The 15322-nt window shown below is 38.5% G+C and overlaps 1 protein-coding gene across 3 annotated transcripts in view; it reads right to left on the bottom strand.

Moving 5' to 3' along the window:
- Positions 1-15322, bottom strand: part of UNC80 (unc-80 subunit of NALCN channel complex) — a 227465-nt gene that overhangs the window by 31224 nt on the left and 180919 nt on the right. For all 3 annotated transcript variants that reach the window (NM_032504.2, NM_001371986.1, NM_182587.4), the window contains 5 exons: positions 13803-13973; positions 10337-10429; positions 8919-8954; positions 8366-8584; positions 436-636 (listed from right to left, as the gene is read on the bottom strand). In NM_032504.2, coding sequence (NP_115893.1) covers positions 436-636; positions 8366-8584; positions 8919-8954; positions 10337-10429; positions 13803-13973 — 720 coding nt within the window. The remainder of the gene's footprint in view (positions 1-435; positions 637-8365; positions 8585-8918; positions 8955-10336; positions 10430-13802; positions 13974-15322) is intronic.

Raw genomic sequence — 15322 nt, 5'->3', positions numbered from 1 at the left:
ATTGTAAAGCTTGGAATTTCTCTAAACTGGTACCTAAATATGTTAACTAGCTATGTTAAATATAGTATTTTGAACATAAAATTCCTTTTCTTTTCTCATTAGTTGTTTCATTTATAAGGCCAACCCTCCCTTATTTTAAAAGGGATTAAAGGGTACTAATTGAAATTTTTATATGTGTCAGATGAGGAGCATGATAGCTAAGAAATGGATAGATTTTTTTCAAGATGAGCACATATACTTTTAAAGAAAATGTTATTTTTCTCAAAATGTAGGCTTTGCTACTTAGGCATTCATAGACCCTATTAACTATGCACATATACCAAAGAAAACTTTCAAGTCATCCATTCAACTCCAGAATGATCCACCATCTTAAAAAATGACAAATCTTAACTTTGACATTTGTGATAGCAACAGCTAACTCGGAGGCATTCTCACCTCAAAGTAGGCATCTTATGAATTTTGTTGAACATTCTATCCAATCTTTTTAAAATGAGGATGAGGGCCGGCCTCACTGCCTCAGCTGTCCAGTCAGTAATGGGTAGCATCTCCATGATGTAGCGCCGAAGCCCACGACTCTCCATTGTCTGAGTGTCATATGGTGCCAGCTTCAGAAGGGAGTGTGCAATTTCTGCCAACCTAAAATATATATATATGTATATATATTTTAAAGTATAAGCTTAGAATTACACAACAGGAATTTTTTTACACAGCAACATGTTAATCACCCCTTCCAGACCACCAACTCCCTGAACTAAGAACATTCTTCCCAACATCCTCTATCCCTCTGCTCTCCCACACATCAGAACAGTGATACCTACATATGCATATTAATAGAGAATCATAGAATGCTTCAGAGACAACATGTAAAGAGCATCTGATGAGGAAACTAAAATCCAGAGAGATTAAGGATAGGCCAAATATATTTAGAGAATGTCATTTCTGAGAATGTGCATGTGTATATATACAGGCATATAAACACACAAATACATGTATATTATAAATATGACATATATGCATATAAAAGAGAACTAACTTTAATGAACAATAAAATTACTAATATCAAACGTCCTTGTAAATTTCATGGCTTCAGAACTCCCTCAGTACCCACAGTCAAGGTCAAAGCCACCCTATAAAAAGTGCTCTTGGTTTTTGTTGCAACCCAAGGGGTTCTTCAGGCTCCATTTCCATCCCTCTCCTTTAAAGCCTCCTCCTCTCTTGTTATCTTATACATGGATCCTTTCTCTCTGTTGAGATTCTTCATATAATAGACCCAGTTGTACTGTCTGAATGACATTGGTTTTGGTCGCCTCTACTTCTTAGATTTCCCAACTCGGTTCCATACAGGAACTGCCAGAGGGAAAGTTGTGCTTCTCTCAAGGTTGGCCCAGGCTTGCAGTCACCAGACCCAAGTGTTGATGTCCTAAGTGTCAGATTTTCTGAAGGAGAATTGGCCAAATAGATTAATTGGGAAAATGAGGTTTCTAGTAAATGTAATAGTTAATGAAATAATCTTCAGAACTAGATATGGATTACCAATTTCCAAATAATACAAATACAATGATGTACATAGCCTTAAAGCCAACTTAATTTAATTTTGTATGAAGGAGAAAGTATTTAAACATTTTACAGTGGCTCCTGATAAAATATACCGAGTAGATGCAGAATGTGTACAAGATAATATTAAGAGGTAATGTATACTCATTCATAAAAATATCTTACAACTATTCTGTATGATTCGAGCTTGATTTTTTTCCTCAAAAAAAAGCTTATATTCTAAAAAATACTCCTAAGACACAGTGGCTGAAATGTTCATATTCTTTGTCAAGATAGTGAAAATTCATTTGAAAACAAATTTCTTTAGGAAGGGTAATACATTAAGTTACTACCACCCATTATTTGAATCTTTGGCTTGAATCAGTACATGTTGAGTTAGGCAGGAAAAGGATCCTATGGAACTGGAATGTAGGACAGAGGATTCCTGATGGACGAGGGTAGCAGAGAGGCCTAATGTTACCTAGGAATGCATGTGTGGATGGCATCAGCAGGGGCAGCCATACATGGAAAGTTTTCAGGATTGTTACTAAAGAGAGGAGGAGATTTGAGATAAATGGAAAAATAAGATTTTTTTTTTTTTTTTTGAGACAAGTTTGTACTGGAAAAGCTCTGAAGATAATCTTCTCTGAGTCATGGAATCTTAGGGTTGAAAGAGCCCATAATAGTCATAATATCCTGTAGGCAGTCAGGTTCACACTGGCACCTCTTATTATTATTATTTTTCTAATACAGCTTAAAAGGAAAACGAAAAAATACAGTTTCCCAGGACCTCCAAAAATCTCATAAATAAGACCTTCTGGCCGGGTGTGTTGGCTCACGCCTGTAATCCCAGCACTTTGGGAGGCCGAGGCAGGTGGATCACGAGGTCAGGAGTTCAAGACCAGCCTGGCCAAGATGGTGAAACCCTGTCTCTACCAAAAATACAAAAAAATTAGCTGGGCGTGGTGGTGGGCACCCGTAATCCCAACTACTCGGGAGGCTGAGGAGATTGTGCCACTGCACTCTAGCCTGGGTGACAGAGCAAGACTCTGTCTAAAAAAAAAAAAACAAAAAACTTCTAAGGTCTGGTCTGGGCCCAGAAATCTGTATATTTTTAACTTTTATTTTGGAAAATCTCAAACATATAAAAAGGTAGAGAGATCAGTATATAGTAAGCCCCAAAATACCCATCTCTCAACCTCAGCCTTCCAAGTAGCTGGGACTACAGGTGCACAGCCCCATGCCCGGCTAATTTTTGTAGTTTTTGTAGAGATGGGGTTTTGCTATGTTGCCCAGGCTGGTTTTGAGCTCCTGGACTCAAGCAATCTGCCTGCCTCAGCCTCCCAAAAGTGCTGGGATTACAGGTGTGAGCCACTGTACTTGGCCTACAGTGACTCTTGTTTTACTTATACCCCCAAACACTCCCCCTTTTCCCTACCCTAGACTATTTTAAAGTAAATTCCAAGCATCACATCATTTACCCAGACATATTTCAGTATGTGTCTCCAAATTTATGGACTCAGAAAAATTAAACACAACACAGTATGACATTTAACAAATTAAAAATAATTCTTTTTTAAAAAACCCAAATATTCAGTCAGTTTTCAACATTCACACATTATCTCATAATTACTTTTTTTTAACAAATTAGGAAAAAATAAGGCCCATAAATTTCAATTTGTTGATATGTCCTTAAGTCTCTTTTAATATGTCGATTTCCCCCCTTCTGTACTTGTCTTTTTTTTTTTTTTTTTGAGACAGAGTCTCACTCTGTCACCAGGCTGGAGTGCAGTGGTGCGATCTCGGCTCACTGCAACCTCTGCCTCCCGGTACAAGCGATTCTCCTGCCTCAGCCTCCTGAGTAGCTGGGACTACAGGCGCATGCCACCACGCCCAGCTAATTTTTGTATTTTTAGTAGAGACGAGGGTTTCACTATGTTGGCCAGGATGGTCTCGATCTCTTGACCTTGTGATCTGCCCAACTCGTCCTCCCAAAGTGCTGGGATTACAGGCGTGAACAACCGCGCCCGGCCTTATCTTGTTATTTATTAAAGAAATTCTCTGTAGCAACACTCTGAATTTTGCTGATTGAATCTCCACGGTGTAATTTAATCTATCCTACTGCCTTTGTATTTAATTCGATTGGAAGTTAAATCCAGGGCCTACATCTGCAGACTCAGTTTTGAATTTTTGGCAAGAGTACTTAGCAGGTGGTGTATGTGGTGTGTACTTCCGCCAGGAGGTACAGGATTCCTAGTTGTCACTCTTTTTATATTAGTTGTTCTTAGTCACTGCACAGATCCACTGATGCATTAGGAGTAGTGCAGTGGTAATATCATGTAATTCTTTGTCTCACATATTAACTATAGCATTGTAATAAAGAGAAATTGTGATTACTCCAAGAGAACTGAAGAGTGAATAACTGTTTGAAAGGATCTAGAGGGTAAGAGCTCCTCAGCTGATTTTGATAGGCATCCTGGTTTAGGAATCACAGCCAAGGCCACTACCTCTCTGATTATTTAGATTGTTCTACAATTGCTTTATGTGACTGGCTCCATGGATAGAAAATTCACTACTGTACAAGGCAACTTATTTCATCTTTGGAGGTCCACACTGTGAGAGGTTCCTTTCATGTTAGGCCTCCAAATTCCCTTTCATTTCTTCCTACTAGGCTTAATTCTGAAAGCATAAATCCAATCCATCTTCTCCATCATGACCCTTCATTATCAAGAAATAGTTATTGTCTCTTAATTCCCATTGTCTTCTCTCCAAACTGAACATATTCACATTGTCCTGGAATTCTGTGTGAATGTGGGTGTTTTAAAGAAATCATTTTAAACAGCTTATACATTCTTTTGTTTATCTCTTTCTCATGAATTTGATATACAGAAAATAATTCTTTACTTCTCAGGTTATTTGTGTGACAAATAAGAGTATATCTATATGCACTTATTTCTTTTCTCTTATTATTTTAAAGATAACATTGAGAAGTGCTTGTGAGATAATCAATCTGTCTATTTTGAGCTTCCAAAGACTACGTAGAGCTGAATTTAAGAGCCATTTTATGGATTACTACCTGAATTTCTCTAATTCCTGGTCATGTGACAAAATAAATTTGCTTTGTGCATAAAACAAAATTTCCCTTTCCCACAGTCTTTGCTGTACTATCACATGTATAATCAAAAAACTTTCCTATGGTTCTTTCCCAGTGGGAACACAAGAGATTTTCCCATTGAGAGGGTGAGGGAGAGAGGAAAAGAGAAAGAGAGAAAGAGAATGAGAGAGATAGAGACCACACACGAGAGAGAGACAGACAGAGAAAGAGAGAGAAAAAGAGAGAGAATTTGCAGATTCTATTATCCAGCTGCTTTGGCAGCACTGGGTTGGACAAATGAAGCAATACATTTCTGTAGGGCAGAGACTCTAATCAAGAATATTTTCTTCAAGAGCCTTGTAATCAACCATACATTCTGCAAATTCAGAAGTATAGATTGCCTTAGCAATGTTTCTTAACTTGTTGGTTTGATTCAAATTATTTTGGCAAACATTTGCATTTTTTATATCATCCCATTTCTCTTTCTCTTTTTAAAAATCAACTTTTCATCCTTGGGTGACATTATCTATTCTTATAATTTAAGAACGATTTAATACTACCCTCAATTCGCAAATTTATATATTAAGCTCCAACTTTTACACATATTCAAGTGCGCACTTAACTTATAGGAGAGCCTTAATTACATCCTTTGCTTAGTATAAGTTCAAAGCATCTGGATCTGCCCCTAATCAGCAACACAGAATGTCTCTATTTGGTCAGAGACTATGGCAGGCCTGTCTTTTTCAAAAGCTTGTTGTGAGAAATTGCGTTAATAAAGGGCATTTAGTCTAAATATTCCCTGAGCAATAAAAATGTTGCCCTCCTATTGATCCAGGCCATGAAATAGCTGTGCTCTTGAATGACATTATCCTGGCTTCAGATCAATTGCTCTTGCTGAACTGCATTATGACATTGTGCCAACTTTATATACTAACAGGCATCCAGCCATGTACAACCAGCACTTTATCTACTATGGGGATGTTGTTGAGGACTCTGTTCATCATACTACTCTTCCCTTTTAACAAACACCAACCAGGAGACTGTTGAAGCTCAGAAAGCAATACGCCAAAATGAAGACCTCAGAAGCCAAGGTTTTTCACTGATCTTCTCCTGCCCTCCTCTCTGTGGCCTCTCATTCTTTTCCAAGGCTAGCCATGGAAACTGGAGACCCTTTTCCTCAAAGCAAGTCATTGAAACCAGAACCTTTTTTCCTGAAGCCAGCCATAAAACTTAAAAATATTACACTAAATTTCCCCCATCTTTCTGTGTAAAAACTAGCCATAAAGAAATTACCTGACCCATCTTGTTTGATTGTAGGTCATAACAACGCCCCCTTTCCAGAAAGGGTCTTGCCCCATTCCCAGAAGGAAGGAATGCTAACCAGAGAGGCCAAGAAGAATCCAAACATACAGGCCATGCTGGGTTTCCTCACTTGGTCTATTAGAATGGGATCATACCCTTTTTGTCCAGTCATATTTATACATGGCTATCCATACTTTGTTAAACTTAAACAAAAATGGAGAGCTTCCCCTGTATTTTTGGGTCTTCATCCTGAAGGCTCCTGTGTCAGGTAAAACTATGATCAAATACATTTTCATGCTTTTTGATTATGATCTGCCTTTTATCAGTTGACTTTCAGCAAACCTTCAGAGAGTGAAGGGGAAATTTTCCCTTGGCCCCTACAAGATTTTTCTTGTTCTTCGTATTTTAAAAAAGTATTGTTTCACCGAGCAACTGTTTTGTTTTTAACTTATTTATATTATGATTTTGTAATTAATCTTTTTTTCATTCTTTGCTTTGATAACTAAGAAAGTCAAATTTATGGTTCATGAATAATATCTAATATGATCTTATATTGATTTCCCGTGCTAATCTTATCATAAAAATAATTAACTCCTTGAAAATCTTTCACATTATCCTGACTCTATAATTTGTATACACTCTCCCTTCAAATATTTTCTGAGTTTCCTCAAATCCTTTATATAATAATACATAAATGTAAATGTGATTATAGTACTTACAACTTTGTATCATAGTTATTTTCTTATGTGCCTCTTGCATTGAACCGTGATAATCTTGAAGACCAGGACCTTAGTTTACATCCCCAGTGTTTAACATAGTATTTGAACCATTCTCATTAGCATTAGTATCTATTGTGTCCAGATCTGTGCCAGGCACAGAGCTAAATCATTTCCAGTTCATTTAACCTTTAATAGGTATTGGCCTCTAGAGGGAGCGCCAGGCCTCTCTGACTCTTGCTGTCCCCTCCCTCCAAATGCCCTAAGAAGAGTATAAATACAGTCAGGTTATGGGACAGTCACTATCTCATAGTCTCTCTCTCTCTCTCTCCCTCTCTCTCACACACACATACACACACACACACATCCATCTTTTAGGAATATTTTTCCCTTTCTCTCACAAAATGGCCATTGGTCATAATGATTTTCTGACTCTGGGAATGTGATGTTTCTCTGTTCACAGAATTGCTTAGGTCAGCTAGAGAAGACCAGCGGGAAAGGAAGTGGAGGGGCTGAATAGATTCCTAAGTTGCTATGACAGCAGTACCTTAACACTCCAAATGTCCCTCCCCTTTCTCTGAAGGCTCCCATCTAGGAGCTGAACTTCTCAGTGTGAAATAAGCTCTTCCCCATTACTGCACAGCAGGGAGTGTGAACTCCAGTGAGGCTCTGGGGTTCTCCAGGGCAGTACTGGGTGTGTGCCCACAATTCAAAGAATGTGAAATTACACTGGAAGAAAAAGAATCTATGCTCACTGTACATTTCTGTCTTCTCATTTTCCTCCATTTAGTACTTTCTAAATTTAAAAAAAGGCAATAACCAGGAAACTGTGAGTTTTGTGAAATTGCAACGTTATTTGGAAGTGGCTGAACCTAACTCTACTTTTACCTTTATAGATACGTTAAAATTTCCAAGTGAATCTTTTGTTACCCATGACATTTTTCTTTGAAGGGATTTTTATCACCCTTAACAAACAATTACAAATCTGAATAGAAGGTCCTCTGGAATCACGTTCCTTTTGAAACACAAATACGGCCTTTAGCATGAATTTCAAGTGAAATGGCATCTCTGTAGGAAGACGAAATACGAGTGCACAGGGAAGTAATTCTGGGGCCTTTCCCTAGCACACTAAGAGTAAAACATGTAAATGACGACTGGCCTCATCTAGTTCAGAATTTTTACCAGGACACATTTTTTTAACGGTTGGAAGGCTGTTTATATAAAGGGGATTTCAGGCCCAAGCCAAGTTGGCTGAGTTAAAACTGCTTACTTCCCTGCAGGGCTCATTACTGGCTTTTTAGGGACCCTAGAAGCAGAAAGTAGTTGTGCATTCCTCATGTAAAATAACAGAGAAGAAACATTCAATTCTTGTGAAAAATTCGAATCTGGGCAGTAAATAGTAGTGAGAAGAAGGCTACTTTTCTAAGAATTCAGGTGATAAAATTTCCCTTTCTTTCTCTTTTATTGAGAAGCACATATATAAACTGTGCTTTTCTATCTTAAGAACATTTTCCCCTTGTCCACGCTAAGATCCTGTTTGATGGACTTAATGCACACTTTAGCAGAGGGTTCTGTATGATGTGTACCTAAGTCACCGGAAACAAATCATTCTATATTAAGAGTTTTTCCTGGAGAACCCCCACTCTCAACCCAACACACACATTCAGACACATGGGCCAAGCTGTGTTCACACTTGGGGCAGGGAAAGCGAGGCCAGTACCTCATGTGAGACTTCACATCCAGCAGTTCCAAGGCAATGACCCGAGGCTCCCCAGCCAGATTTTGCAAGATCTTCAGCCGTGGCCCACAGTGCTTATAGAACTCAGTGCAAATATTCAGTAAGGACTCCCGGGGTCTTCTGAACTCTTCCCGAGCAATTCGTTCATCCAGTTCCTCTCTGGGAATGCCTTGCCCTTCCTCCAGTAAATGAAGGTTTTCCCTGGGAAATTGTGAAAGATTAACTAGGGGTCTGAAAATGTATTCATGTAGCAGCTGTGAGAAGAGGGTATCACACTGAAGAAAAATATAAGATTCCTAATGAGTTAATGAATCAGTAGGGTGAGGCCAAGGAGAACCTCATCCGAAGGATAAAGAAAGCTTAGCAGCCTAGAAGAGACTGTCATCCCAAACTGTAGTAAACCCACTTTTGGGGGTTTACCCAGAAATAGTATGTTATGCATCAAATGAAATCTAATAGAGCCATAAACCAGCTTAAAAGGCAATCATCTCAAGATGTCAGAACTGGTATGAAATTAGAGCAAGTCTTTCTGTACCTGATAAAGTGCAGTTTGGCTCCTTGTTCCTGGTACCTGGGAGTCAGAAAAACAGTCTACATAACTATTAGAGCAAGAACGGGGTCCTTTGGTTGGGGCTTCTTATCGACTTTCATATGAAAAGCCCTTGAAGCTATACATTTTGATAAGCTCACAAATATACATATATTACTCCTAAAACATAAAGGCTTTATCTTTCATTTGGCTAACACATATATTGCAATTATAGCTGCTGCAAAAGTTGTTTTATTGTTGCGTGATTTGGGTAAAGACGACTATTATAAAAATATATACAAACTCATAGAATATAGCCAAATGAGAGAAATTTTTGGACATTTTGAAATTTAAGTTATAGTTTTAATACCATGTGCTCTGTCTTAAGTGACAGGAAGGAGAATCATGGCTGACTTCCTTTCAGTTCTGGAGACTTATTGCTTTATGATTCATGGATACTAAGACTTTAGAAGCCCTCTTTCTTCTTTAGAAGCCCTCATTTAATCCAGTGAGCCTAGAGAAGTCCCTAAATATCACTTAAGCTATAGTATATCATTTTCCCTTAATATAGGAAATTGAGGCATAAGTTAACCATCACACCAGGCAATTTATAGCTGGGTTTGGAATTTATTTTTGTTTTATTTTTAATATGAATATATATGATGAGCAGGGAATTAACTTTACATGAATAATGATACACACTTAAAAATAGGCTTCAGAGAGAGTGAAAAATTATTGAATTTCTCCTTATGATTTCCAGGCCAACTATTCCATACTGGGAAAAGAACTTTTTCTTAAGCTGATTTTGGGTTTGCCCTATCTTAAATCTTCCTTGTAGGAGGAAGCTAATTAGGCTTTTTGTGTATGTCGGAATATTTAAAGCTAACACAGATGGAATGAAACGGGTAAAATATTAACTAGTATAGCCAGTATCTGAGTTACACCACAACAAGAGAAGGAGATTAAGTTAACAACCATGAAAAGCACCATTTGAGGGCATATGTCAAAGTTTGGATGAAATGTCTGCAGAAAATCTGTCCAGATGAAAGTAAGTTGACTCTGAGTGCCCTGGGAATGATAAACCACCTCCTGATTATTATTGTTTATTTGCCTTTTGTTGAAGGTAAATGAAACAACACTGGAATAGTTCAAAGACCACCCAGGAGGCAGAGAACATCTAGAATGCTCAAGCAAACAAAACAACACAAATGCCTATTTATGAAGTTGGTTTAGATTTCTCTTTGACAATTTCAAAAGAAGCCTTGGTATTTTCTTGTAACTCTAAACTCTCACCTTCTTTTCTTTTCCTTGGAGGTTTTCACACTCAATATTGACTATGTTCAGGGTTCCTTTCATTCTCAACAGCTGACATTCGGGTTGTATGAAATTGAGAGACCATAGAAGAATAAGGCGCAGTGAATTACCTGGTGTTCACCCCAGACGACATGGTGTGATTGGCTGTGGTGGTTCCCTTATGACCTTGGTCACACCTGCTCATCTGTGGGGCTGTCATGGGCCTGTAACAATGACAGTAATCACCACAGCAAAACAACAACAACAACAGAAATGGAAACATTTATTAAATCCTCAAGTTACTGAAGCACACATAAGTTTTAAGTTAGTTTTAGAGTCTTCAAAAGACAGGCTGTCTAGCTTTGGGCTTTTCTGTTTGTTCTGAGAGGCACTTTAAAAGAACATTGATTCCCAGGGGTTTATAAGCTCATCATGATTTAAGTTCTTCCACTTCTTTGTTCTGAGTAATAGACTCGTCAAAATGACTCTTCCAACAAGACATTTATGAAATATCTACAGACTTCTAAGTCTGTACCAGTTGAGAGTAAAGAGGTCATTCTTCAGTTCTACTGGGTAGTTCACCATTCTAGATAATAAGTAAAAGGCAAGGATGTATGTACCACTTTGGCCACCTACACCATTATCAACTACTCTATTTTTTCTGAGAAACTATCAAAGAATAAAAGAATTCTCCTAGTCACATCACACCTAAGGCTACCCAGGAAAGTGAGTAAGTTAGTATCTTATAAGTCAGTAATTTAGATCGTTAGTAATAGATTTGAATCATCTCATTTTATATCTGCCAGATTTACTTCAAATAATAGGTAAAATTTGCCTCTGTATTGGCATCTAGGACGAAAAAGGCATAATGCAGTTTTTTTTAAAGCAACTGCTTTTATGAAATCATCAAGGTTTGCTTCTTTGTTGCTCACTTTCTGTCTGCTGGGGATGGCTAGAAAGTAAGCTTTTAACGATCACACCAGATCTCCTCTTCCTGTGCCTGTTGTGATAGACACAATTTAGAGATGGCTCCCAGTATCTTTGCCCGTTGGTGTTACTCTAGTGATTATGTTACATTATACGGCAAAAAGGGGGAGTATCTGCATAGGCCTAATCTAGTCACACCAGCCCTTCAAAAGCAGAGAGTCTTCTCTGGCTAGGGCAGAGAGATTTGAAGCATAAGGATTCAAGATGCTATGCTGGTGCGCTGCACATGTATACATATGTAACTAACCTGCACAATGTGCACATGTACCCTAAAACTTAAAGTATAATTTAAAAAAAATTAAAAAATTTAAAAAAAAAAGGATTCAAGATGCTATTGCTGGTTGGAAGGTAGAGGGGGAGCATGTGAGAAGAAATGCAGGTGCCTTCTCAATGCAGAGTGGTGCCTGGCTGACAGCCAGCCAGGAAATGGGACCTCAGACCTAAAGCCGCATGGAACTAGATTCTGCCAAAAAATTGAATGAGCTTGGAAGTTCATTCTTCCCCAGTGCCTTCAGATAAAAGTTCAGACTAGCTGACAACTTGACTTCCACCTTGAGAAACCCTGAGCAGAGAATTCTTATCTTCTTTTTGTAAATACAGTGAAGCCAATTTTGGTTTGAGTAACTACTACCAAATAATGAAGCTAGTCTTCTCTGCCAAAAGAATATTAAATGCACTGGAATATTTAAAGCCACATAATTTTAAATGCCAGAGCTCCATCCATAACTCTTTGTGACACTTCGAGTAAGTCAATTTTGGATAAGTTAATTGACTTATCCTTATAAAAAGGTATAGAAATGAGGAAAGCTTTAACATTACGTAATATGAGGAGAAATAGGCTGAGTATGGTGGCTTACACCTGTAATCCCAGCACTTTAGGAGGCCGAGGTGGGTGGATCACTTGAGGCCAGGAGTTCGAGACCAGCCTGGCCAACATGGGGAAACACCGTCTCTACTGAAAATACAAAAATTATCGGGGCCTGGTGGTGCATGCCTATAATCCCAGCTTTTTGGGAGGCTGAGGCATGAGAATTGCTTAAACCCGGGAGGCGGAGGTTGCAGTGAGCCAAGATTATGCCACTGAACTCCAGCCTGGGTGACAGAGTGAGTCAGTCTCTCTCTGTGTGTGTGTGTGTGTGTGTATATATATATATATATATATATATATATATATATATATATATATATTAGAAATACAGTGGCATTTGGGAACAATTGACTGCTTTTCTTTCTTCTAGTTGTAGGAAAAGGCCAGTGACATAACCAGATGGGTACAGAAGGAAGAGTGTAAGTCTTTCATTTCTCTTTAGGATATTCTTCTGGGACTTTCATGAAACCATCAGCAATAGCATAGAAAACTATTTCTCCTTGGAAGAGATAATTTGTCATGGCTGTCTGTGCCAACTCTTCCCATTTCCTTAGTTTAGGTGCATATGAACATTTCAGGATGATAGTCTACAGAAGGCTTTTGGGCAATATTCTGCTTGCCTAGTTTGGCAATGTAGCTCATGATTAGAAACTAAACATCTGTTGCTGCTAATGAATTACAATCCCACTCTCTCTTTTTCTTGCTGATGCATGCTGAAAAAGTCCTTCCTGGACTAAAGGGCTTCCCCCTTACCAGCACAGCAAGATGGGGCTGGGGGAGTTGGTGCCTTTTGGTGGAGGCGTAGACAATTTCACACTAAGGATCTGGCACTTTAGATTGGACACACAGCATGGCAGAATGGAATGGAGGAGCAAAGACACTAAACCCAGGAAGAAGGCTTCCCCATCCCTATCCTGGGGAAGAATATTTCCTGGCAGCTAATTTAGATGGGAACAGAGCAGAAAAGCCCATCATACGCATAGTGTCCTGCATCCACCTTCCCCACTTGCATTTTATTTTTTTGTCTCATCCAGGGCTCCCTGCCTGCCCCTTTCCTGCCACATGGCAGCTTAGTGACTCTGCTTCGGCACCCAAGCATCTTGCGACAGGACTAACTGCTTGAACTTTGTTTAGGGCTGAACTCTGGTGCCAATTTACCTTACCATTCCCAAATTTCTCAATCCTCTCTCCGCATTATTTAATCCTGTCCCACAGAGAATCTATTAATTCAAGCAGTAGGATAACATTCTGCTGTTTATATTGGTTATGTAGTTTCTGAAATTATAGTTAAAAACACAACACTTCACAAACAGTAAAATAATAAAAGAATACTTAGTTGGAATTGTAGGCATTCCATGTCTCATAAAATACTATAATAACTAATAAAAATGTAGATTACATCTTTAAATTCACTAAATTGGCCCTCTTACACAAGATGTGTTTACCACTGGGTTATAACTGCTGGAGAAGCTCAGCAAGCTATATGCAAATGTGTGTTTAGCAATGATAGTAAGAATATTATTACTATTATTATACTACTACTAATCAGAATGCTTAACATTATTTATTCAAATAACTCACGAACTGTTCACAGTTATAAGGCATAAAGGGCTGAGTTTAGGAGGTATCTGTAAATAAAGATTGGGTTTTAGATTTTTATCCATCACATTTTTTTCTTATTTTTTTTTTTTCAGTGGAAACATATGATGTAAGGCTGTAGCTATTTCTGCCAATGGGATTACCTGGTGAGGACCTCTACACTGTACAAAAGGGCCTGTAGGGACGTCGCAAGAGCAGCAGTGGCCGCAATCTCCTCTCGGGCAGCAGGTACTGTCTCCACCTGTGATGTCTGCCTCTTTAGCTTTTGTAGGTAACATGGAACTAAGGCTTCTAAGACCATCAGCATCTGAAGACTTTAAGCGACAGAAAGAAAACCGAGTCACCTTTTACATTCTACTTTTGTTGGTTGTGTCACACTTAAGAGCATAGAACAATGAAAAGCATCTAGAGATATATGAATTCTAAGGCCCCTTGCCACTCCTAATCAAAAGCAGTTAAAGCTGCTGGAAATGTTGACCAACAATTATTAATTCACTAACCACCTGCTAAAAGGCGATGAATCTTGCCTTAAGGAAACATGTGATCTAGTCGGGGGAATTAGCCATATATACAAATAAATGGTTGAAAGAATAACAGAATGATAATAGGTGGAGCTATATAGTCCATCTAGAGAAACAGGCTTCAGAACAAAAATTCAATTCAGGAGTTTGCTGAGAGTGATTTTCCAGCTGCAACAATTTTGAGACAACATAAAACCCTTTCATGGGAGGCTGGCTTCCTGAACTTAAAAAAATAAATAGCAACAAATGTTGGAAACAGCCATTATGATGAAGTCTGACAATGCCTGCTTACCAACGTGAGTGAACACCACTCACTGGATAGGGCCCACACTCAATTTAGTATTGGGGTGCCAGAAACACCTTGAAGGGGACATGGAGATTAAGTAGTTATTATGCAAAGTGGGTTTTCCCCTCTAAAGTTGTAAGTGTATAACACCACCAACATAAATCTTTTTTTTTTTTTTTTTTTTTTTTTTGACAGAGTCTTGCTCTGTCAGTCACCCAGGCTGCAGTGCAGTGGCATGATTTCGGCTCACTACAACCTCTGCCTGGGTTCAAGTGATTCTCCTACCTCAGCCTCCCCAGTAGCTGGGATTATAGGCATTCACTACAATGCCCGGATAATTTTTGTATTTTTAGTAGAGACAGGGTTTCACTATGTTGGCCAGGCTGGTCTCAAACTCTTGGCCTCACGCAATCTTCCCGCCTCAGCCTCCCAAAGATCTGGGATTACAGGCATGAACCACCGCACCCTGCCATCTTTTGTTTAGAGATTCCCCAATTGTGTTAAAGTTTAAAGATTGTGGGTTCTAGAAAACAGCAGTGATGAGTTGATATCCCAAAGAATCTGAAATCAAGATTTTCTTTGATCTATTCTTTTTCTTACAGATACCAATGAGTTTTTGCTATGCTCTTTATAATACTGAATACTGGTTTTTGGTAATATAATTTTGCCTATAATATGTGCTCTATAAGCAGGAAATGGCAATTATCAGAATTTCATGGGTACGGAGAAAGAACTATGATACTCTTTTGAGTTCTCCTATTTTTTTGGCAACTTGAAAAAGGAGGCAAGAAGTCGGTTCTGCTTTCTGTAACAATAAAAAGTACCTTGCTGCAGACTAATTGTCTTACTAGAAAGG

This window comes from Homo sapiens, chromosome 2 (genome assembly GCF_000001405.40).
Source record: "Homo sapiens chromosome 2, GRCh38.p14 Primary Assembly".
Classification (NCBI taxonomy): Eukaryota; Metazoa; Chordata; class Mammalia; order Primates; family Hominidae; genus Homo; species Homo sapiens.
This window is presented reverse-complemented; position numbering and strand designations above follow the sequence as displayed.